At 39.1% G+C, this 26,272-nt stretch overlaps 1 protein-coding gene across 6 annotated transcripts in view, besides 1 other annotated feature; it reads left to right on the top strand.

Annotated features, from left to right (window-relative positions):
* The window catches only part of PAPPA2 (pappalysin 2), a 382,427-nt gene that overhangs the window by 275,096 nt on the left and 81,059 nt on the right, over nucleotides 1–26,272 (top strand). For all 6 annotated transcript variants that reach the window (XM_047427180.1, XM_017002024.2, XM_017002023.2 and 3 more), the window contains 2 exons: nucleotides 1,356–1,491; nucleotides 1,710–1,926. In XM_047427180.1, coding sequence (XP_047283136.1) covers nucleotides 1,356–1,491; nucleotides 1,710–1,926 — 353 coding nt within the window. The remainder of the gene's footprint in view (nucleotides 1–1,355; nucleotides 1,492–1,709; nucleotides 1,927–26,272) is intronic.
* Nucleotides 9,409–9,609: a silencer, noted in NCBI's record as "peak474 fragment used in MPRA reporter construct". NCBI's record gives its function as "represses an SCP1 promoter by STARR-seq MPRAs in K562 erythroleukemia cells {active_cell/tissue: K562}" and the evidence as "EXISTENCE:reporter gene assay evidence [ECO:0000049][PMID:32103011]".

Below are 26,272 nucleotides of genomic sequence, written 5' to 3' on the forward strand. Positions count from 1 at the left end.
AGACACTGTAAAAAGAGAGAGTGTGACTGGTCTTTCCCTTAAAGAAGGAGAGAAAGAAGGGAGAGCCGTGCTGCTTTGACCACTGAAAATCATAAAATCATCCTAATTAAGCCAGCAGTGCAAATGAACTCTATAAACATACTGCCAAGGCTCAGGAAAAATGAGTCTGTGGACAAGGAAGAATTCTTGTTAAAATGAAAACATGTTTTACTCTCCTGCTCCCCACTTTTAGAGGAAGGCCCTGTCATTAGATGTTGTACCCTGCTTTTACACTGGGAACAATTTTCCTGGAGCTTCATCACCCTTAGAACCTGATAAAAAGCTATAGAAATGCACGTAGAACTTTGTAAGGTTCAGTTCCAGATTCTGATCATACAACACCAATATAACACCAGGGAAAGTTGAGATTTATTCTCAATGGAAATTAAGAGAAATATTCAGCTATGGGAAATAAAACAAAAGTAGAATTACCATATCAAATAAGTCCAGTGTGGAAGATGAACACTGGAGTCTCAGCAGTAGCAAGAATCTGCTCTTCATCTTCCAAACTCTCTAAGATGTTTTTTTTCTTTTCTTTTTTTTTCTATCAAAGGATTTCTAAGGAAAACACTTCCATAGTTCACTCTGAAAGTCTGTTTTAGTGTTAATCACCCTAACCATCTAGGGACATTCCTGAGTGATACATGAATTTTCCTGTGTCCCATTGTTGGCTTATTTTCCTGGCCGGGGACTGGGTATACATGCTTGATGCACCAGGAAGACACATAAGAATAAACAGTTTGGCAGATTCTAATTTCAGAAGCAAGAGACTCTGCCACAGCATATCTCCCATGTCAGAGTTCACATGCTATGTGAGAGGTTCTGATAAAAATTTTGGGGAGAGATAGGAAGATGGGGAAAGATAACTAGACATGGCAGTTCAGAACTTGGAACCATTTAGAGCAAGATGCTAGTTTGATGATTCTTCTCCACTGTTTTCACTTTGGCAATAAGGAGATATTTATTGCACTGGCTCTGCAGTCATTTATTGTCTCTGGCAATGGTTTCTTTAAATGATTGTTTTCAGAAATTTAAAGAAAGACAGGGTCAAGTAAAAAAAAACAGTTCAGGTATCAGTCTCAGAAAAAGATAGGATGTTCAGCATCTGAAAATTATCTTCTTTCCATTTGATCTTGTTGTTTGATACAACCTTGAATACCTTTCTGTGTCTACTCCATATTTTTAGCATTTATAAAAAAAATGGAAGCTCTTACTTTATAAATAGTGAGCTCTCTAAGAAGAATAAAAATTGTATAGCACATGTCTTGATAGCTCAATGGAAATAATGACTTATACATAAATGTGCTTATGCTTAGGTGTGTTTCAATAGACCAGGAGAGGCCAGAGCAATTTTTATTTTTTTGACAACTGATGGCCTAGTTCCCGGAGAGCATCAGCAGCCGACAGTGACTCTCTACCTGACCGATGTCCGTGGAAGCAACCACTCTCTTGGTGAGTCTGACAAATATCCCTTTAGGGTCACTAGAGGACAACCCGGTAGACCCAGAAGTCAGCTTGATGTCTGTCTTTTATGTTGTCTGGGATCTTGCCTACATCATACATCTAGGTTTTGGCATCATACACCTATTAAGAGGATAAAATGAATACAAGATATGGAAACATGGTACTAACAATGGCTGAAAATATGATTCATCTCCGTTTATCTTCAGGAACCTATGGACTGTCATGCCAGCATAATCCACTGATTATCAATGTGACCCATCACCAGAATGTCCTTTTCCACCATACCACCTCAGTGCTGCTGAATTTCTCATCCCCACGGGTCGGCATCTCAGCTGTGGCTCTAAGGACATCCTCCCGCATTGGTCTTTCGGCTCCCAGTAACTGCATCTCAGAGGACGAGGGGCAGAATCATCAGGGACAGAGGTACAAACTTCCCTTTCTTTCTTTTGTTTCCTTTTCTTGTGGCTCTAATGATTGGCTCACATTTACATAGTGTTATGTATAGAGTGTTTGCTCAATCACTAACTGAAAAATGAATTTAGGAACTACTAAAAAGACATAGGAAGCAAGCAAAGAATAATTTGTGGAAGGCATACTTGGGTTTTATATTTTGTTCTTCTTTCCTTAGCTGACCATAATTTTTATGTAAATATTTAATGTCTTTACAAGGTCTTAACATCTTTTTTACATATAAAACCACCAACTTCAAATCAACATTGTTATATAAACTGCCAAAAATTCTCTGCCAAAAACTCAATGTTCCTTAAGCAATGTATATTTTTCCACTTCTTTCCACCTGGACAGTGTATATAGCAAGTTTAACAATTGCTTGCTAGGGTGTGTCATATAATCATTTAGAATTATATGTGGAAATAGGAAATGCATTAGCTACATATGTCTTTCTGTGGATGTCTGTGATTGTCATCCTCTAGACAGATGTGGCTATGAGGTTCACTAGCATCTCAGCAGCAGCTATTGGAGGGATTGTACTCACAGTGTTGGTGTGCCCAAGGTTAGGGGAAGGAGCCTCCCAAACACAATAATCTATTCTGCATTTGGGCTAGAATCACTCTATGCATGGTCTAATCAATTGAGTGGGACTACAGGTGACAGGGTTCATTCCTCAGCAAGGGAGGTGAGATCGCTTACTTGTTACTAGGTGATTATGATCCTAGTGACAAAAGCTGGGGTTCCAAGAAGTGCTCCATCACCAAAAAGAAATTCTGGTGCCACAAAGCTCATTCAAGGCATCCCAGATACTCAGACCTCACAGGGATGGGAGTAGAGAGTACTGGTGTACTATGTTAGTTATCTATTGCTGTATAGCAAATTATACCAAAAGTCAATGGCTGAACACCATAAACATTATCTCACAGTTTCTGAGGGTGAGGAATCTGGATACAGCTTCGCCAGGTATCTCTGGCTTAAGATCTCTTATGAGGTTGTAGTCAGGCTGTTGGCCAAGGCTGTAGTTACTCAAACCTCAAGCAGAGCTGGAGAATTCACTTCCAAGCTCACTCCTGTGGCTACTATCAGGCCTCAGAAGATCCACATCCAAGCTCACTCATAAGTGCTGGCAGTGAGCATGCTCACATAGAAGTGCTCAATTCCTTGCCAAGCAGGCCTCTCCGCAGCTATCTGAGTGTCTTTGTGACATGGCAGCCAGTGATCCAAGACAGAAAGAGAGCCAGAGACGGTGAACACGTGAGAGACTACCCAAGAAGGAAGCCACAGTCTTTTTATAACATAATATTGGAAGTGATAGTCCATTACTTCTGGCATATTCTATTCATTAGAAATGAGTCAGTAAGTTCAGTCCATACCCAAGGGGAGGGGTTGGCATAGGGGCATGAATCTCTGGGGGCCAGTAATAGTAGTTTATGTTAACTGAGCATTAACTACATGCCAGGTATTGTTCTAAGTGTTAGAAAGGGAGAAACAGTAAGGGGTAATGAATGTCATAAGGTTAACTAGTTCATCTGCAACTTTAAAGTCTTCTTTCTTAGTGAACAAATGCCTCCAAATATTAACACAAGAATGTAGACTATTAAAATAACATTTATTAGAATTATGGCCTCTCTCTCATATATTTTCAAATTATATTCTCTACTGGCTCTACCTCTGGCCTTAAGCCATACAGCATTTCTTTCAGGTCCCTGAAACATGTGTTCTTGGTGAGCTTTGCACATAGTTCCTACTCTGGTGACTGCCTTCTAATCTTTCTTCACTTCAACTCATACTCTACCATCAAGATTCACCTTCTGTGAAGTTTTGGCAAACGGATTCCTCCCTGTTCCCATAGGACATACTGCATAATGCAAACTCTGCAAAAGCAGCTGTCACATTGGGTGATAACTATTTATTTACTTGTTGTTCTTTCTCATTAAACTCTGAGCTTCCTGTAGTGGATAATTCTGCTCAGTATCTCTGAATATCTACAGAAGGCCTAGCACATAGTAGGTATGAGAAACTGTTTTGGATGACAGTTGCCGACTTTATCTCTAAATGCTCCATGAACAGAACTGAACAAGAAAAAAAAAAAGTAGAAGTTACAGCCTTTCTAGACATGAGGAACAAGAATTCCCCTTACAATCATAGCTGTGAAGTCTCAACAAAGAAGTTGATTAATTGTAATTACTGCCGCTAGTTCTTCACTTCTTCTCATGTGGCACTGTGGGAAAAACAAGTTTCATATGCATGCATGCAAACCAGGAGAAATAGGATATGATTCTCCAGTTTACACTGTGTATCTGGAATGCATAAGCATTTCCAAACCACATGTGACTGACAGGAGCCATGCAAATTGACTTTTCCTTGTCAGCCAGCAAATCAGTACAATGTAGTAAATTTTGATATACCGGGAGCCTGGTAAATCCCATATACTTTAATTGTGAATATAACTGAAACCTAAATCCCTATGTATTCTCAAAGAGTCAAAGTGTTTTTGCAGCCTGTGTCTGTCACAGTTGTATATGTAGAGGCACCACGATATAAAACCCTCAAATTCTGGGCATAGTGAGAGGGATTCCTGGCTACCTCCTTCTTACCCCTTATGACCTGAATTCCACTGATACTTACATGGGCAGGGGAGAGCTGACAGATGCCTGCCAGTAGAATATGTGTTATCCATTTTGTATTTAAACATTAATGACCAGTGGCCCATCCCTCCTGCAACACTACACTTTAAAACCAACCTGATTGGCCCACAGAATCTCAGATGAAAGCCAGTAAACCTAAGTCAGCCTCTCCAGTGATGTTCATGATCTTTGTCTTGGACAAAGTAATTTCTCCTTGCTTCCCACTTAGCTACTAACAACACAGAATACGAAAACTCTTATCAAAATGAAAAAGCAAGCCTGGCAGCCAGAATCTGTGAGGATTTCCTCCTGATTACAAATGTACTGGGGTTAAATTGAGAAACATAATTGGAAATCAAAGCATGCACGGTTTTTATTTTCTGGAAAAAAAATGCATTTAAAGAATAGAGCCATACTAAAAGAGGAGAGGGAAACAGGTTATTCTTTCTTCATTCCCTGGTTCCTTTAACTTGGTTCTGTCTCAGTCTTGTTTCTCACTCTGTTATGATGACTACCCAGTTTATGACCCTTTGAGCTTATTCTACTGATCATGAACCCTTTAGTCTTGAAAACCAAGTTTAGTTTTCCTGATTTTGGCCACCAGTGCTCAAGAAGAGCTTAATTCATTCTTACCCTCCAGTTGTTTCCAGCTCTGGCCACTTTAGGGATAGGTTCTGCACAACTTGCCACAGTATCAGGATCAGGCAAACCTCCAACCATCCCAGGATTGTGTTGATGGCTTTGGGAAGTGGAAACTATCTATTTTATTAATGTAATGGGATTTGCAGTGTGTCTAAAATATAACCCAGACACCAATATGTTAACATACCTAAGTGAGTGAATTAGTTTACAGACAAACAGGACTCTTTCTACTTTGGGAATTTACAAGGTCAAGATAGAAAAGTTTAACAGCAGGCAAGAATTGCTGATGGGCATGTGGTTTCTCCTATCGAATTTTGTTCTTCCAATCACATGGATAAAATGAAAAAATTGATTGTAACTTCTGTGACTTACCTGATAATATATCCATAAGATCTATGAGTGCTGAATCTTCAAAAGATACAGAACATTATCTCCTTTTCCAGGACATGGATTGATGACCATAATTGAAACTTTTGACTACTCTACTCATCTCTTTACAGCATTTACACTTTTTCTTCAATCTGCATAGATTTCCCAGTCTACCTGGTTGAGAATGTGGTGTCAACCTTTTATGCAATTGTGCTTCTTTCATTTTTCCCTTGTATTCCAAACAGTTTTTGATTTATATAATTTGATATTAGATAGTTAAGTATATAATTTTTTGTGAGCCTTTTATCTTTATTAGGATCATACATCTTGCCAATCCTTTTACCCCTTTAAATGCCTGTGGCTTTGTATTCTACTCTTTCTGGAATTAAAATGTCTATCCCTGCCTTCCTTTTGTTTGTATTTGTTTGATAAATATTTGCCTTTCTTTTATTTTTAACCTTTCTCTGTCTTTGCTGCCAGTGAGCCCCAGGCACATAGCTTCACTGCACTGTTTACAAAGCTTTCAGATTTTGCCATGTCCAACTACTCCAAGATTTTATTCCAAAAGTTTATCCCATGATCCTCAAACCTCTAGGATTCTTTAGGACTCAGTAGCATTTTACCTTTAGGACATATATCTCCCAATATATAACGGCTTTTGCCACTGGTTCCACACCCCACCCTACCTCACTAAGACCTCTATACTTCCTAACCTGAAGTCTGAAATGAGTAAAGAAAAGGTAGTACTGATGGGAATAATGACTGGAGAACAGATCTCTGACCCATGAAAAACAGGGCCCAGTTTTCTCGTCTTTACAGGGGCCAGGAAATGAAGAAAGAATGATCTGTTTTTTTCTTTTAGTTTGGCTTCATTACTATTCTCTCTTTTTCAGGAAACAAAAAGTACATGCTTTGGTTTCCAATGATGTTTCTCAATTTAACTCCAATATTTTTTTCAATCAAGAGAAAATCCTTACAGATTTTGGTTGCCAATCTTGGTTTTTGGTATTGATAATAATTTTCATATATTTCTATATTGTTAGTATTTAAATGGGAAGCCAAGAGAAATGACCTTATAGTATTCTTGTGAGATTGACTGAAAATAATACATGTGAGATTTGTAACACCTTCTAATACCAGGTTGGAGTACCACCTGTGGCAATTTTCACAGTATTCCCCATCTTTATTTTTTGCCAATCAGGTGTGCTAGTTATCAGTCAATTTGTTTGTTGCCTCTTGGTTCCAAATCCACCCTCATCACATGTATTGTAATAGTAGAGCTGGATTTTTATCACTATTTATCCTTTGCCAACGGGTATCATGTTACACATCATCAGTAGAGGGTGCTAGATAGACAATGCAGGAGGAGGGGTTTTCTCTGCTGTTTCTGGTGTAATTTCTTCTCTTCTGTTGCTGTGACATGCTTGGCCAGTGGTGTGCAGCACACCTATAGTCAAATACAGCAGACATTTTTTCAGTTGGCTCTTCATCACAATAAACCAAACATGGCAGCTTGAGAAATAGTGATGCTGCTGGATGCCGTGGATTACTAGCATCCCATATCCCAATGATTGTACTCAAGACCAAAGGCACAATCAAACTTGTCCCCAAATCCCATCCTTGTGAATCTGTCTTGTACTATTAACCCCAGTACCATCCCATCTTAGTTGGGATCCAATAAGGACACAGTAATTAAAATAGAGAAGTTTCATAAAAGTAATTATTAACCAGTAATGGAATTAACTACTAAAGGGCAGGGAGAACTCTAACAAATAAAAGAATGATTGATAAAGGGAGCAACCATTACTTTTATGAGTGATAGAAGAGTATCCAAGAAAGGAACAAATGTGGAAGAGGCTCCCAACCCAAAGCTGAGGTTCAGATCTCACTGGAGGAGGTGCAGCTGTGGAACATTGTGTGGCAGAGAAGTTTGTGGAGGTTCTACAGAATGGAATGGGGCTGGTAGTCAGAAAATGCTCACTGGGGTGCAGGTAAAAGCTCATGAAGAAGCTGCCTCTGGAACACAATTGGGACTTCTGGAAAGCTGTCACTGTGGTGCTGCTGGAACTTTCTGGGAGTCTCCCCACTGGGCACTAATGAAACTTGATGGGAGACATCCACAGGGGTGCCACTGAGACTTGTTGAGAAGCCAGCTAAGATGCTGATAAGACTTGCTGGGACATGTGGAGTGTCCCTGAAACTCACTAGGTGGTGAGCACCACTGGTTGTCCCACACATGGCTGGAGAAGCAAGGACGGGAAAGCACATAGGAATGAAGGCAAGCCTCTTCATCCTGCAATGTCTCTCCAGTGCCATCTACTGAAGAAAAAAGTGACATGCTAGCTGGTAAAGAGAAATGTTTTCATGGTCCAGCTCTAGTATCATAAAGCAGGGCAATGAAGGGTGGATTTGGAACTGAGAGGCAATAAGTTGATAACCAGCAGAGAAAGTCTTGTCAAATAACCAAGAGGAAACCTCTGTTCTCTGTGTCTTTCGTGTTCCACACAGGAGTTCCTTCCTGGCTTCAATACTGTTTTTCTTTTTCTTTTTTTCTTTTTTTTAGAGACAGGAGTGTCGCTCTGTTGCCCAGGCTGGAGTGCAGTGGCTCGATCTTGGCTCACTGAAAGCTCTGCCTCCCGGGTTCACACCATTCTCCTGCCTCAGCCTCCCAAGTAGCAGGGACTACAGGCGAATACTATTTTAAAATATAATTTCTGAATAGATTTGAGCTAATTAGAAATTCATATTTTTTTAATGTTTTGAACTTAAGCAAAGACCAACATAAAGTATAAATACCTTATTAGTTTATTCAGTATAAATACACATTCTGATTGAGATGGAAAACAAGTAATAGATACTCACAAATGTAAAATCATAGTGGGTTCTAAGGTTTGCCTTGAACTATAACTTATCAAAGCCAGGTGTTCTAATATAAAATTGAATAAGATATTAATCTTTTAAAATAAATATCCATATGGAAACTGGGGTTCTTCTCTCGCTTGTTCTCACTCTCATTATATGTGTAGTGTGTGTGTTTGCATGTGTGTATTCATGTGCGTTTGTGTATAGAAAGAGATAGACTGTTGTTCAAAAACCATTTAAGTGACTCAATGGAACAGGCATAATTTTTCAGCTGAGGAAACTGAGACTCAAGGGCACAAATTTACTTTATTTGGGATTAGCAAAAGTAAGACTGGAATCCAAGTAACTTGTTTCTGGGAAGGAAAGCTTCTATTATATAAATGGTGAACTATTTCAGAAATCGATTCATGTCTACTACTCTTCAAGAAATCCTGCCACCCTCTCTCAAATCATATTTTGATTCAGGTAACAAAAGTTTAACTAGCCCTGGAATAATCAAATAACAGCTGTATTTTACATCTACTTATGTGAACGGGCATATTTGTTTTGAGGAAATGATGACTTGTAAATTCAGGCTCCAAGTAATACAGGCAAGCTGGGGAAACCTGATGAAGTAGGTTACCAAGGGGAAAATTGTAAAGATACTTTGGACTTTTGGGAAAGTGTAGGAAATATGCAATTCAGATTAGGGCAATTTTATGGGCACAACCCAGAGGATTTGAAGACAATAGAAAAAGAGAAGTTTTGACCCAGCTCCTATGGGGTCCTAGCCCAGACCAAAAAAATAAAAAAATAAAAATCTTGTTTCTTAGAGAAGAAAAAAAATCTGAGGAAACATATTCTACTCTCTCTGAGATTAAAGTGCATCTAACCCAGGAAAAGAAACATAATTTTGAAAGCCTGGCTTATGTGTGTATTAGTTTTCTAATGTTGTATAATAATATTACTATAAATATAGCATCTTACAACAATGCTTATTTATAATCTTACAGTTTCTGAGGGTCAGGATTCTAGGCAACGCTTAGCTGGGTCATCTGTAAGGCTATAATGAGGTGTCAGTTAGGAATGTGTTCTCGTTTGAAGGCTTGACTGGGGAAGGTCCACTTCCAAGTTCACATGGTTGTTGGTATTTGGTTCCAAAAGACTGTCAGACTGAGGGCTTCAGTTTTTATGCTGGATGTTGCACAGAAACCACCCTTACTTCCTTGCCACATAGTCTGCTCCATTGGGAAGCTCACCTATGGTAGCTTGTTTCTTCAAAGCCAACAAGACAAAGAGTCTCTCAGCAAGTAAATTTTACAATCTTTTGTAACATAATCACAAGTGTTACAGCTTGTCAACTTTGTATTCAATTGATTAGAAGCATGTCACTTGTCCCACCCACACTCAAGTTGTGGAGATTATGCAAGGGTAGGGATTTCAAAAGGCAGGGATTATTTTCACCACAATAGTTTAGCCTGAGATAGGCGAATGTATGCAGTAACCTTGGAGTTATCCAACTACATGTGTCTCATATCCTGAAAGAGCCACATGCTATAATGGTTTCAACTTACTAGACAGCTTAGGGCAGAAGGGATACACAAATAACTTGCTTGCAGGAAAAAAGCATGAAGGAAAAGTAGTGATTCCAAGAGTAAGGTCTTTTCATAGAAATTCCCCAGCTCTTGGTAGGTGGATTATCCAAGCAGTTCTCTACCAGAGAATGTCCTTGCAACTCTCTTTTATCTAGAAAAAGCACATCTATTTTATGAATGATACCTGTCCAGATTTTTTCCCCTTATTCTTTAGTCTGCTTCAGAGCCATCTTCTTCATGGCTCAACTGGTATTTTTATAATATCATCAAAATGAAATTTAATCAGTAATATTAATGTGTTTCCTAGAAAATAAAATTACAGTCATGTACCACATTACATTTGTCTCAATGAAAGACTGTATATATAATAATGATTTCATAAGATTATAATACAGTATTTTTTGCTGTACCTTTTCTATGTTTAGATTTGTTTAAATACACAAACACATCATTGTGTTATAATTGCCTACAGTATTTGGTACAGTAATAACATGCTGTACAGGTTTGTAGCCTACGAGCAGTAGGCTACACCATATAGCCTATGTGTGTACTAGGCTATATCATATAGGTTTGTGTAAGTACACTCTTTGATATTTGCACAATAAAATCACCTAACAACACATTTCTCAGAATGTATCCCAATGTTAAGTGACACATGACTGTATATAAAAACACAAAAATTAAAAAGTTATGGTTACTGTTTCAATTATCTTTGTTCTGATTATTTTTATAAAGATGGATAATTGAGAGTTAGCAGTTTTGATCCAGTATCTATCATACACATACACCAATGTGGTCATATATCTGTATGAATATATGTGTGTGTGTATGTATGTGTGTGTTTGTGAATATGTTTCACTTTATACAAGACAGTCGAAAAAGGTTAATGTGATATGCATTGAATTATAAAACCAATTTGTAAAATAATTTAAATGTTTAAGTGGTTGTGCCATTTAAAAGAGCATTGTTGTTTTATTTTTAAGGTCTTTATTCTTTTAGAGCAGTTGTAGGTTCACAGAAAAATTGAAAGGAAGGTACAGAGATTTCCCATACACCCAATGATCCCACCCATGCCTAGCCACTCCTGCTATCAACATCCCCCACCAGAGTGGTACATTTGTTACAACTGATGAACCTACGTTGACACATCATAATCACATCAAATCTGTAGTTTACATTAGAATTCACTCTCAGTGTTTGTTGTACATTCTATGTGCTTGGGCAAATGTGTAATGATACATCATTACAGTATCACACACAGCATTGTCACTGCCCTAAAAATCCTCTGTGTTCTGCCTATTCACCACCATACCCTACATCCCTGCTGTCCCAAACTTCTCACAACCATTAATATTTTTACCATCTCCATCATTTTGCCTTTTCCATAATGTCATATTCTGGAAATGTCATATAGTTGGAATTACACAGTGTGTAGGGTTTGCAGATTAGCTTCTTTCACATTGTTATATGCATTTAAGTTTCCTTCATGTCTTCTCATGGCTTGATAGCTCATTTCTTTTTATCATTCAATAATATTCCATTATGTGAATGTACAACCGTTTATTTATCCATATACCTATTGAAGGACATCTTGGTTTCTTCCAAGTTTTGGCAATTATGAATAAAGCTGCTATAAATATCCACATGCAGGCTTTTCTATAGACATAAATTTTTAAATGTCTTTGAATAAATACCAAGGAATGTGATTGCTGGATCATATGGTTAAGAGGATATTTAGTTTTATATGAAGATACATTGTTTTTCAAGAAAAACATAAATATTGTTGTAAAGAACAATGGCATCCTCAGATCTTTTTCCTCTTCTCCTTCTTTCCTTTTTTCTTTTCATCATAAATCTTTATTTTTCTATTTACTTAAATAAAACTAAGCCTGTACTCTTGAACATGTAGATTAAGAGTACCAACCCTGTACAGTAAAAAAAAATGCATATAATTTTTGACCTCCCAAAAACTTAACTATTAATAGCCTACTGATGCCTGAAAGTCTTACTGATAACATAAACAATTGTCCAGGCGCGGTGGCTCACACCTGTAATTCCAGCACTTGGGAGGCCAAGGCAGGAGAATCGCCTGAGTTCAGGAGTTTGAGACCAGGCTGGCCAACATGGTGAAACCCTATCTCTACTAAAAATACATAAATTAGCCTGGTGTGCTGGTGGGCACTGGTAATCCCAGCTACTTGGGAGGCTGAGGCAGGAGAATTGCTTGAACCCGGGATGCGGAGGTTGCAGTGAACCGAGATCGCACCACTGCACTCCAGCCTGGGTGACAGAGCAAGACTCTGTCTCAAAAATCAAAACAAAACAAAGTGACAACAACAACAACAACAACAAACAATTAGCACGTATTTGATATATTAAATGTATTATATACTGTATTCTTACAAAAATAATAGTAAGCTAGAGAAAGGAAAATCTTATTGAGAAAATTGAGGAAGAGAAAATACATTTACAATTTATTGAGTGGAAATGGATCATTATAAAACATATAAAATTTGAGTCAAGGAAAAATAATGAGTTCACGCATTGTGTTATTATATGGTCCTATATGCAAAGCAAAAATCCTTGAACTGAGAATTTACCTTTTGCATTAAAAACATTTACCATTGTCCTGAATGGTAATGCCTAGGTTTTCTTCTAGGGTTTTTATGGTTTTAGGTCTAACGTTTAAATCTTTAATCCATCTTGAATTGATTTTTGTATAAGGTGTAAGGAAGGGATCCAGTTTCAGCTTTCTACATATGGCTAGCCAGTTTTCCCAGCACCATTTGTTAAATAGGGAATCCTTTCCCCATTGCTTGTTTTTCTCAGGTTTGTCAAAGATCAGGTAGTTGTAGATATGCGGCATTATTTCTGAGGGCTCTGTTCTGTTCCATTGATCTATATCTCTGTTTTGGTACCAGTACCATGCTGTTTTGGTTACTGTAGCCTTGTAGTATAGTTTGAAGTCAGGACATAGGCGTGGGCAAGGACTTCATGTCCAAAACACCAAAAGCAATGGCAACAAAAGCCAAAATTGACAAATGGGATCTAATTAAACTAAAGAGCTTCTGCACAGCAAAAGAAACTACCATCAGAGTGAACAGGCAACCTACAACATGGGAGAAAATTTTCGCAACCTACTCATCTGACAAAGGGCTAATATCCAGAATCTACAATGAACTCAAACAAATTTACAAGAAAAAAACAAACAACCCCATCAAAAAGTGGGCGAAGGACATGAACAGACACTTCCCAAAAGAAGACATTTATGCAGCCAAAAAACACATGAAGAAATGCTCATCATCACTGGCCATCAGAGAAATGCAAATCAAAACCACTATGAGATATCATCTCACACCAGTTAGAATGGCAATCATTAAAAAGTCAGGAAACAACAGGTGCTGGAGAGGATGTGGAGAAATAGGAACACTTTTACACTGTTGGTGGGACTGTAAACTAGTTCAACCATTGTGGAAGTCAGTGTGGCGATTCCTCAGGGATCTAGAACTAGAAATACCATTTGACCCAGCCATCCCATTACTGGGTATATACCCAAAGGACTATAAATCATGCTGCTCTAAAGACACATGCACACGTATGTTTATTGCGGCACTATTCACAATAGCAAAGACTTGGAACCAACCCAAATGTCCAACAATGATAGACTGGATTAAGAAAATGTGGCACATATACACCATGGAATACTATGCAGCCATAAAAAATGATGAGTTCATGTCCTTTGTAGGGACATGGATGAAATTGGAAACCATCATTCTCAGTAAACTATCGCAAGAACAAAAAATCAAACACCGCATATTCTCACTCATAGGTGGGAATTGAACAATGAGATCACATGGACACAGGAAGGGGAATATCACACTCGGGGGACTGTGGTGGGGTCGGGGGAGGGGGGAGGGATAGCATTGGGAGATATACCTAATGCTAGATGACACGTTAGTGGGTGCAGCGCACCAGCATGGCACATGTATACATATGTAACTAACCTGCACAATGTGCACATGTACCCTAAAACTTAGAGTATAATAAAAAAAAAAAAAAAAAAAAAAACATTTACCATTAGGCTGTTATTATGTACATCATTTGGAGTCCAGCCTCTAGCTGTTGTATATTTATCATAAAACTGAACATATACATATAATTAACATACCTGCCTTGCTTTGCTAACCATGCTTGTGTAAAGAAGAGTACCAAGTAATTTTCAAAAATGAGTAATCAGTGAATAATGTATATTTGGTTTGGCTTGCAATGCCCCAGACTCACAGATAGAGACCTGCAAATTTGTGACATGAATACTAATTTAGTCACCTTCATTGTCTCTGTTAACCTCTGTTCTTCAGTTTACTGTTCCCTGAAGCAGGGCCTGCAAAAATAAATAATCCTGGTAGAAAAATCAACAATTAGTCATCCAAATGACACAAATTTTCCCATTGCAGTTTATGAATTTGGGTAACATGCCATGTTAATCTTATCTTCAGGTTGACTTACTCTGGCTGCCTGGACTCCTCAGATCCCCTCCAATGGGACTGTGTGCTAGTGACACGAAAGATGTCTTTAGCCTTAGAAAGCTATTCTTGAGAAGGTCGATCTGCTGGCAGAGAAAATGTAATCTGAATCATTAAGTCCAGTGCAAATAATTTATGTGTTAACCTCTATTGTTCATGGAGAATTCACTGTAGATACGGAATTATAGGTGGGAAGTAGAGGGATGCAGTAGAAAGAAAAGGAACTTTTCCATAGAACTTCACTTTTATGTCCTAATAGTCCCCAGAGAATTTCTGGAAGGAAGTGGCTGTCTCATTTAGGAGAGGTAGACTCAGGTGTGAAAATGTTTCTTCTTGGTTACACTATAGGTTACAAATTGAGCTGGAGCCAGCTTACAGGACATCTGAGCCCCAGTCAAGGGAGAGGAAGCCGGGGCACAGCTCAGTACTTTGCCATTCCATCCCTGCTGTAATCAGTCTCTGAGTCTGGTCTTGGTAATAGTATTATTTCATCTCTATTATCTGTCATGCTGCTTCATGCTTTATTTTTCCCTGGAACCCTCATCTGCTGCTTTACGGATTCCTATTGTGCTTCAATTATTTGGAGCTCAGATTTGAAATGCCAACTCTTTTCCCTCCTCTTCCACCTGGATTGGGTTCCAAACCTTTCCAGCCTTCTTCTTCCTCTGCTCAGTCCTATGTAGAACGTTTGGATTACTTCCCTTTTGATAGCCTCAAGATGTGAAGGCTCCTCCTTTTTTTTTTTTTTTTTTTTTTTTTTGGCTTAGGGAGTGCATTTTAAAGCATTTATTTTTTGACTCCTCATCTATTATTTTTATCATAAGGTTTCCTTTTAATGTTCCTGAGTGATGGGAAATGTTCTCTCTTGCTGCTGGGAAAGGCACTATAGAAATGAAATATGTATTGCCTTTCTACTCATCTGATTATCTGCCTCCTCAAAGTAGTTTAACAAATTAACATTGAGTCTCTTATTTTCTACACAGTTTCTTTTAAGCAAGGAAAGAATTATAGCTGTTCAACTGCTCCCTTGCTTTCTTGCCCAACTTCCTTTTCCCATAATGATTTGTCCATAAAATAAGAAGGAAGAAGGAAAACCCACTAGAGAGGATTCTGATTCCCCTGGCAGATGATGGATGGCTGGCTGTATGACAAGTCAGCTTTGGGCGGCACAGTGAGCTATTTGAGCCTTTTCAACTGTTTTTTTTTTTTTTTTCTTTCAACTCATGAGGTTATAGAGGAAAAATGAAGAGGCCATGGACATGGTCTTTTGGGTGGGCTTAATGAAGTATGGCTAAGACAATTCCAGAATAGCCTTTATTGAAACATTACTTTGTCTGAGATTGTTCTTAGTGGGATACATTCTGAGAACTAGCTGGGTGGAAGCTTTTGGTCAAAAGCTAGGAACAGGTGAAACCAGCTTAGGAAGACTTAGGGTTGAGGTCCACCCCCAAGGAATAGACTGATTTTAAAACAACTCCTCCCTAGTGACTTATCATAGTTCCTGAAATTCCATCATTAAGAATTATTTTCTTTAAGTCTCAACAATCTCCAGAGTCTCAGCAATCTCCAGAGGCCTCTTTAAAATAGTAAATAACTATATACTAGAAGTAAAAGTGTTTTAAGTCTTTACCAACTATTTATACCAGAAGTATTCTCTTATGGATTTTGATAATTCAAAAATAAGCCCCATGGCCCTGCTGAAATTTATACCAGAAGTATTCTCTTATGGATTTTGATAATTCAAAAATAAGCCCCATGGCCCTGCTGAAATGTAACCTAGTATAGCCATTTAGAAGTTTTAGGGAACAAGAGAAGTAGAAAAAGTAGTATTGAAAAGAGGGATGAATTAAAAATGTCACCTACTTCCCAATTTTGCTCAGAGCTGGCCCTGTCAGTATAGTCTGTATTCATGGCAGCTGGTGGAGAGAGCACAGAAAATAAAAGGAAACCAGTAGTATTTCCAAGGTTCTGTCATTTTGCCAGCCTGCCAAGGAGGCAGATGCTGTAGACAGATTTGACCGTAAGCTCTGGTTGAAATGACTCTCAGGCCGTGTCTGGTTTTGTGTGCAACCATAGCACTGCAGGCAGAGGAAGTCTGGAGATTGAAGTGGCAGCAAACCCAATGCCCAGACCCCTGCTTCTCACTTTTGTCTACATCATTTAGTCTCACAGCATGATTTTAGCACAGTCTCTTCCCTTCCTCAACCCTTGATTTCTCCATAAGCAAATGAGCCATCAGTGTTGCAAGGCTCCAGTAGGCTAGGAAGAGCAAAAGAACTGAAGACAATAATATTCCAAATCTGATATCAACAAAGGACTGACAAACTCTAGGATTAGAAGATGACAGAGTCAACATGAAGCTTCTGTTGGGGAGTCTAGAAATTTACAAGGAAAATAAACCAAGGAGAAGTAGGGAGAGGTAGAGTCCCAAAGGGGCCCCACAGGTGTTTTATGTTCTTACTTCTGCATGTGAATTTGGGAGCCATTCAAGGAGCTGGATTGTAAATCCTTAAGACTTCCATTTAGCCGTAGCTTATGTATAGCCCACAGAGCAGCCAGGCTACCCTGTCTTCATGCCCTGTAGATACTGTTCTAGGAGTGACACAGTCTGAAGCTCATGCCCATTAAACTTCATCACGGGGCTGTATTGTTCTCACCTAACTCTTCATGTTTCACAATTTCCCAAGCTCAGGCTATGAATGTAGTTGGGGAAGTGTCATTCCCTAGTGAATAGCTTAATTTGTGTCCAGGAATAAATAATAGAGAGAGAGTCAGCAGTGCAGTCCCTTGGAGGGTACCAGTGATCATTGCTCTTTAGGAAGTGCCCCACAAGGAGATGGCTACTGCCTTTGCAAATCATGTGTGTTGGGAGGAGAAAAGCATTTAGAGTTGACGCTTGAACAGCACATGGATTAGGGGCACTGACCTCTGTACAGTCAAAAATTTGCCTATAATTTTTGACCTCCCCAAAATTTAACTACTGAAAGCCTGCTGTTGACTGGAAGCATTACCAATAACATAAAGTCCATTAACACATATTTGATATATCAAACATATTACATACTCTATTCTTATAATATTGTAAGCTAGAGAAAAAATGTTATTAGGAAAATTATGAGGAAGACAAAATATATTTACAAATTATTATTATTATTATTGAGACAGAGTTTCGCTCTTGTTGCCCAGGTTGGAGTGCAGCACAATCTCGGCTCACTGCAATGTCCATCTCCCGGGTTCAAGCGATTCTCCTGCCTCAGTCTCCCAAGTAGCTAGGATTACAGGCATGTGCCATCACGCCCAGCTAATTTTGTAGTTTAGTACATGGGGTTTCACCATGTTGGCCAGGCTGGTCTCGAACTCCTGACCTCAAGTGATCCACCCACCTCAGCCTCCCAAAGTGTTGGAATTACAGGCGTGAGCCACTATGCCTGGCCATATTTACAGTTTATTAAGTGGAAGTGTATCATCATAAAGATCTTCATCCTCATTGTCTTCATGTTGAATAGGTTGAGGAGGAGGAAGAATAGGAGGGGCTGGTTCTGCTGTCTCAAGGTTGGGAGAGGTGGAAGAAAATATGTATGTAGGCGGACTGGCAAAGTTCAGACTCATGTTGTTCAAGGATCAGCTAATATATACATATCTTTTTGTCGTTTCAAATAAATGATTCTGCTTCCCAGGGCAAGTGCTAGGAAGCACATTAACTGTATATTAGTCTGCAATTGAATTGCTTTTGTTCTTTCTTTGGTATTCCAGAGATTTTATAATCTATGTTAAAATCATGGGTTCTGAAACTTGGTGAGACAGGGCTTTTGAAAGAGAGCACTTTTGGCTGTGTAATGTAAATCTGTTTCTCTTCAGAAAGACAGGGGCCCTGTAGATAAGACTCTTATTATTATTATTATTATCATACTTTAAGTTCTAGGGTACATGTGCACAATGTGCAGGTTTGTTACATAGGTATACATGTGCCATGTTGGTTTGCCGCACCCATCAACTCATCACTTACATTAGGTATTTCTCCTAACACTATGCCTCCCCCAGCCCCGCCGCCAAAAGGCCCCGGTGTGTGATGTTCCCCTCTCTGTGTCCATGTGTTCTCATTGTTCGACTCCCACTTATGAGTGAGAACATGCAGTGTTTGGTTTTCTGTCCTTGTGGTATTTTGCTGAGAATGATGGTTTCCAGCTTCATCCATGCCCCTGCAAAGGACATGAACTCATCCTTTTTTGTGGCTGCATAGTATTCCATGGTGTATATGTGCCACATTTTCTTATCCAGTCTATTACTGATGGACGTTTGGGTTGGTTCCAAGTCTTTGCTATTGTGAATAGTGCCGCAATAAACATACGTGTGCACGTGTCTTTATAGTAGCATGATTTATAATCCTTTGGGTATATACTCAGTAGTGGGATTGCTGGGTCAAATGGTATTTCTAGTTCTAGATCCTTGAGGAATCATCACACTGTCTTCCACAATGGTTAAACTAATTTCCACTCCTACCAACAGTGTAAAAGCGTTCTTATTTCTCCACATCCTCTCCAGCATCTGTTCTTTCCTGACTTTTTAATGATCACCATTCTAACTGGCGTGAGATGGTATCTCATTGTGGTTTTGATTTGCATTTCTCTGATGACCAGTGATGATGAGCATTTTTTCATATGTCTGTTGGCTGCATAAATGTCTTCTTTTGAGAGGTGTCTCTTCATATCCTTTGCCTACGTTTTGATGGGCTTGTTTTTTTCTTGTAAATTTGTTTAAGTTCTTTGTAGATTCTGGATATTAGACCTTTGTCAGATGGGTAGATTGCAAAAACTTGCTTCCATTCTGTAGGTTGCCTGTTCACTCTGATGGTAGTTTCTTTTGCTGTGCAGAAGCTCTTTAGTTTAATTAGAGCCCATTTGTCAATTTTGGCTTTTGTTGCCATTGCTTTTGGTGTTTTAGTCATGAAGTCCTTGCCCATGCTTATGTCCTGAGTGGTATTGCCTAGGTTTTCTTCTAGGGTTTTTATGGTTTTAGGTCTTACATTTAGGTCTTTAATCCATCTACAGACAACCATGGTAAAACCCATACCCAGAATCAAAAATAAGTGAAGCAATTTGCCCAGCACTAGGACCCCCAAGTCTAGTTCTGAACTTACAAATAGGTCGCATTCTAGGAAGAGATGGACACATCCTGACAGATCTATTTTGAGGACCCAAACTCTGTGCTGAGACTTAAATAAAGGAGCAGAGAAACTTCCACTTTCCCAGGGTAGGAATGGAAGGATAAGTCAGTTTGGCGTGATAATTCAACATTTTTCTATCATGCGAAGGAAGAATCCGAATTACTGCTGAGATTCTTCTGTTTCCCTCAGATGAGAATCTTTAGAGGAGAAGAACTTGAATTAATTTTATTTTCCCAGTTAGTAGGGTTCTCAACACCTCAAAGTACCAGCATTGGTCCTCCCAAGAAGGAAATATATTTAACATTTAACCTGGTTCCTGTCCTACAAAGCAGAGATGAATCCAGAAGTGAGGAGGAAGCAGAATGGGGAGTCAGAATCAAGACTTTTTTTCTCTATTAGTTTGGATAAATAGCAAAGCTATCTAAGGATGAATGCTGTTATTGTTGTTAATGGTTTGCATTTGGTGGTGGGAAAATTAAATGAGGACTCTGTCTCATCCAGTCCACTCTACATTCTGTACATCCTACTCCTATCTGCTGCCAAATTCAGAGCATGCATTCCTTCTTAGCCCATACCCTCTTATTTGCATAAGAATCAATACAATGAAGTGAAACAGTAGAGAAAAATTGGATCCTCTTTTACTACTTAACCTTAAAAGAGCTGTTTCTAGAAAGACCTCTGGGACTGCTATTTAGTCAAGGGTGGCACTTCTTGGATAAATGAATTGCAATATTTTGTTTAACTGAACAACTGAAAAGTTGGGACATTACGCTAAAAAAATATACTGAGCAAGAAAGATTATGAGAAACTCTTTCTTGAGTTCTCTACCACATCCTGCCTGTTCATGGGTTTTCTGCACTCCCACCCCAATACCACCATCACCTCATCTGTGAAACTCAATACCATGTTAAAGCTGGAAGGGCCCTTTGATAGAAGTCAGTTCAACCCCATCATTTTACTAATTTGCAGATGGAAGGCCAAGATGGTTAAGAGACTTGCCCAAGGTCCTAGAGGCCAGCAGGGGCAAGCCAAGACCAGAACCCAAGTCATGTGGCCTTGGTCTACTACTTTCTTCATCACATTGTATTGTTTCTTGAAAAGTGTAGTACAGATGCCAGTTTCTCTTAAGCAAAGCTATACGCTAGATAAAAGTTGTGATCAGACTTTTATGAATGCCTGGGGGAGGGTGGGATACTGACTTTAGAGAAGTTTATGAGCTGATGTCACCCTGATTTTAAGTCTGAGCTAAAGCTCAATTAAGTGCTTCTTTGTTATTATATTACAATCTTAGTATTGTAGGAAGTTCTGAAATATCCCATCATTTCTTTTGGGCTAACTTTTCTCATTTAATACAAGAAATTTGAGTTGAATTATCTTTCAGATCTGTTTCTGTTTTAATGAGCTCTGGTTCCTCTAAAATTGTTGTTAAATGCCCACCGTTCCCCACCTCCATCACCATCAGGAAATGGAGTTTTTAATCTTTCACGCACTCTTACATAGGAAAAAAAATTATTTTAGTACTGATTCTGACCGACTCTGAAGTATTGTTATAGCCTTCTGGAGTTCTTTCAGGGTGGCTCAGAACCTCAGGGAAACCTTGAACCAAAGCTTCAGGGCAGCTGTAGGCAGAATAACAGGACTTTGCCTGTTTGCTAGGAACTACTGAGCTCCCCGAATATGGACCTGTATTGGAAGCTATGCCAATGTCCCTGCGATAGCCTCAAAAAGTGGACAACTAAAAGAGGTGCCTGGTTTGGCATTCTCTGGGGGACAGTTCATGGAAAGTTTATTGATGGGGCTGGCCACTCTATCTGCAAATAATGATGTCTTTTTTCTGGTGTCTACCTTACCCTGTTCCTCACTAACCATTGAAAGATGCAGGAAGACTTTGGGAACCTGCCCCTAAGTCTGAACCTACCCCTAAGTCTGTTTTCAGATGTAAAGGTTGACACCTTTCAGTATAGAATTATCTAAAGTTGTTAGTCAAGATTTAAGAGATCTGCACACACTGAATTTTTTTCAGTTCACGGTGATAGGGGAAATGGTATTTTTATCCATGTTTTGAGATTTCTATTTTTCCTTTGTTCTGTCTGTAAAGAATTGAAGAAAACTTTCCAGGACATCTCTTGCCTTTCCAAATTCTATTTTCATTAAAGTCAAATCAAATTCAATAATAAAACTTTTTCAGAAATAGCCATGAATTTATAATCAGTAACACATGATTTAATTGTTTTTTTCTCTTTAGCTGTATTCAAAGTTTCTTCAGAAAAGGGGATATGTTTTATGCTTTTGATCTACCTTGTGGCTTCTTTTTGATAATTTGAGTTTAATATAGTAAAACATAATGATGAAGCAGTGGGGCCAATGTCTCCTTCTGGAGTCAGTCTTGGCCTATAGAATTTATTGACATATCTTTCAGGTTACATATATCTAGATCTTTATGGGGTGGAGCTTTACTCCTAGTGAGTATCAACACTTTGAAACTTATAAACATCAAATGCTGGAATCCCACTGCAGGCCTATGGAATCAAAATTTTCAGGGGATAAAGCAGGAGTATATGTTTTTTAAAAAGCTTCCTAAGTGAGTCTAATGCACAGCTATGGTAAAGCCTGCCTTATGGAATAAGAGGGCCACTCTTAGAGGCTTCCCAAGTACAGTTATCATTCACATACACAACCAACAAGGGAAAAACACACATCATTATTGCAGGGCATTGCTAGGATTGTGCCCGGGTGCCCACAGGCAGGTTCTGTACAAGAGGACAATAGCCAAGGGTTAACATACATTTTGAACAAAAATTCCTCAATCAAAAGCATGGTTTTTTTGTTTTTGTTTTTTTTGTTTGTTTGTTTTTGAGACAGAGTCTTGCTCTGTCACCCAGGCTGGAGTGCAGTGGAGCAATCTCGGCTCACTGCAAGCTCTACCTCCTGGGTTCATGCCATTCTCCTGTCTCAGCCTCCCGGGTAGCTGGGACTACAGGCGCCTGCCACCATGCCTAGCTAATTTTTTGTATTTTTAGTAGAGATGGGGTTTCACCGTGTTAGCCAGGATGATCTCGATCTCCTGACCTCGTGATCCGCCCGCCTCGGCCTCCCAAAGTGCTGGTATTACAGATATGAGCCACCGCACCCGGCCAAAAACATGTTTTAAAACATTGCAACACAATGACATTGGAAGTGAAGACCAGCAGAAAGAGAGTAGAGGCTTATCAGAGCGGAGAGACAAAGAGCAAATCTAGGGTTATGTGTAGGTGGCCATCTACATAGTATGATTTCTAAGAACTTGTTGACTTAAACCTCCCTTGTGAAAAACTCAATCCTTTGGCTTAAAACACTGACTCTTGTTAAAATGGAAATACCTATGAATCATATCTGACAAGGTACATCATATTCTTACCTGAGAACACGTTGTAATGGGGTGGGGAAAGAGCTGGAAACATAGATGGAAAGAGAGAGGGTATTGCCAAAAGAGGATGCACACTGGGCAGGACATCGTGCAGACAGCAGCAGCTGGACAAATATCATCACTTTGATTTACTGCTATTTAAAAGAGAACTGCTCAAAACTATTGGACTATTAGATATGCTATGTTTTTCCCTTGCCTACCCTGCTGAGGAGCTCCTTGGCTCACTCTGGCCTCTGCTGCTAGCTCCTGAATTGGGAAGAAAGCAACAGGAAAGCAACCTCATCCCGTGGGAGATGGCCCGGTGGTCTAGGCTGGCCCTGAGAGTGAGGGCTCTGAGATCCAGCCTGAGGATTTTCCTCTGACTTGCTGTGTGGCCTCCAGCCAGTCTCCAAACAGCTTTAGTTTTCTTGTATGTCAAACCAAGATAAATACCTAACTTCCCACTTCTCTGGGGCATTGTAAGGCTTCACTTCTGCCACTTTCAGTAAGGTTTGTCCAAAGATCATAAGAAGAAAGCTTTTGAGAACTTTTAAGATGAATTACTTTTACTACTTATGTAGTATTAGGTAGAAAGGAGAATGTACCGGGAGGGTGGGATAATGGAGAACACAACAATCTCACTCAGAGAAGCAGTGTTTGTAGTGGAAGAGAAACACAAAAGGGGTTTTGGGGTTGGGGTGCAAGGGAGAGAAGTCTACAATTGGTACCAGATGCCATCAGAAGCTAACGACCTGACAAACTCTGTCCTCATAAAACAAATTCCTTAAAAAGGAAGCAAATGGAAATATAAGCTAGTGAAAGAATTTGCAGCAGCTGCCCTAAAACCATTTCTCACTTCATAAACAGGTCTGGGTTTGGTCCTTTTTTTTTTTTTTTCGTGTTGGTCTTATTTCATGCCACTTTTCCCTCTCATATTCTCCCCTGTCTCATTCTTCCTCCCTTGCTTCTCCTGCTGGATGGACTTCTCACACTGGCAGTCATAACAATAGTAGTTCCCATTTTGATGGAGGGAGGCTCATTCAGAGCATTTGTTTTGTGTCTTGTCTCAACATGTATTTGTCCTCAATGATGGCATGGATTAATTGGACGAAGTCACTCAAAAACAGCACTTGCTCTTTTCACCCTGACTTCTTTCCAATAAACTAATGTGGACCAGAGTATTAATGACTCTCTGTTTCCCAGTACTTCCTGTTTAGCATGCTGAAGAAGAGATTATGTTTGGGACATCCATGGCATGTGGCATCTAGAGAACTAGGAGTTCTTTAGAATCACTAATGAAGCATCTTGATCACATTTCATAAAGGATGGTCAGATTTTAGCTTCCTTATCAGATAGATTAAATACATATTTGGAGACAAAAATTCATTTCCTACATTGCATATCAGCATTGAATTTGGGGAATTCATGCTGACTCATTAACAACCCCCACCTTATATATTTCTTCCTTCATCAGGTCTCATAATGGATACTTCATCATCTCAGGAAATAACCAGGGCTTAAACTTGTGAAAACATTTTCTTCACACCGATCACCTCCAGTTCTTCCAACTTATACATAATAAACATAGATAAAAGAAATGAGAGTATCACTGACATATGATTTAAATCCCAAGGGCATAAGAGCAGGGTCAGCAACTTTAGCATATTTAGTCTGAATTCACCCTTTTGGGGCTAGTGCTTTTTAAGTCAAGTCTCAATTATTTCAAGGTAGTATGTGCATATTCAATGATATTTATTTTCTACTTTCTTATATTGTTGCCCAGATCTTTGATAAAGTAGTTGACCACTAACACAATTCAGGGACAAACAGAGCACACTACTGATGACAAGATTCATAGTAGTCATATCTTTGGGCTAATAATTAGCACCAAGGGCAACAACATCAAGAGCAAGAAAATATCTTGCTAGTCTTCCATACTAGACTATGTATTCCCTAAGAGCATGGTTCTTATACCACTGGTACTCAGATCGAGGCCTTCCTAACAGTAAGTGCTCAGTAAATGCTTATTAATGAATGGTGGAGCAAGATGGTTGAATCAGTGTTTAATGATATTTTCATATTTCACATCCCCATTTGTCATTATAAAATTTAACAAATTTCTCACTTTGATAGCTATGGACTGACTTTGCTCTCTATAACATGAACAATCGTAACTTAGCAAATTTTTATTGTGTCAACTACAGCAAGTCATGCGTTGAATATAAAGTGGGTAAGAGTCAGTTTTCCTCTTCAGAGTGTCCATAATCTAGTTGGAACATTGAGCATTTAAGAGACACTCAGATACTAATTACCTTGTGAATAAAAGGATAAATAAGTTAATTCACTGATTAAAGAATGAGAAAATGCATACACAACTATAACAGAAGATAAAGCAAAAGAAATTTAGAAGGGAGTTATTTTTTAAATTTCACTGGGAAGTTCAAAGGAAGAGGGCATCTGAAGGGACTTCTTTGAGAAGGAGAGTGTCTTAGCTCAATTTGTGTTGCTATAACTGAATGCCTGATACTGGGTAATTTATAAAGAAAAGAGATTCACTTAGCTCATGGTTCTATAGTCTGGGAAGTGCAAGAAGCATGACGCTGGTGTATGCTCGGCTTTCTTGCTGTGTCATACATGGCAGAAGCAAACACATGCAAAGGTGCAAAACTTGAGAGGCACCCTGACTTTATAACAATCCACTCTCATGGGAACTAACCTATTACAGTGAGAACTAATTCAGTCACTACCACAAGAACAGCACTAAGCCATTCATGAGGGATCCACCCTCATGACCCAAACACCTTCCACTAGGCCCCACCTACCAATACTGCCACATTGGGAATGAAATTTCAACATGAGTTTTTTGGGGACAAACCATATCCAAACCATAGCAGAAGGCCTTTTAGAAATCTCAACAAATTGAGCAAAGGTACACAAATGGGAGAACAAAAAAGTGGGGTGACAAACAGCAAACAGACCAGTGAGGCCTTTTGCAGTGCTTCATGCAGTAGAGGAATAACAACTCTGTGAGGTTGCCATAATTATCCCCGTCTTATAGGGGAAGGAGTTGAAACACTTGGGAATGAATAACTCAATCCAAATCGCACAGATGTTAAATGATGGGTCCAGGATTCAATTCCAGAGAGCCTGAGGCTAATGCCCTAATTATTAAC

This window comes from Homo sapiens, chromosome 1, assembly GCF_000001405.40.
Source record: "Homo sapiens chromosome 1, GRCh38.p14 Primary Assembly".
In the NCBI taxonomy this organism is placed as follows: Eukaryota; Metazoa; Chordata; class Mammalia; order Primates; family Hominidae; genus Homo; species Homo sapiens.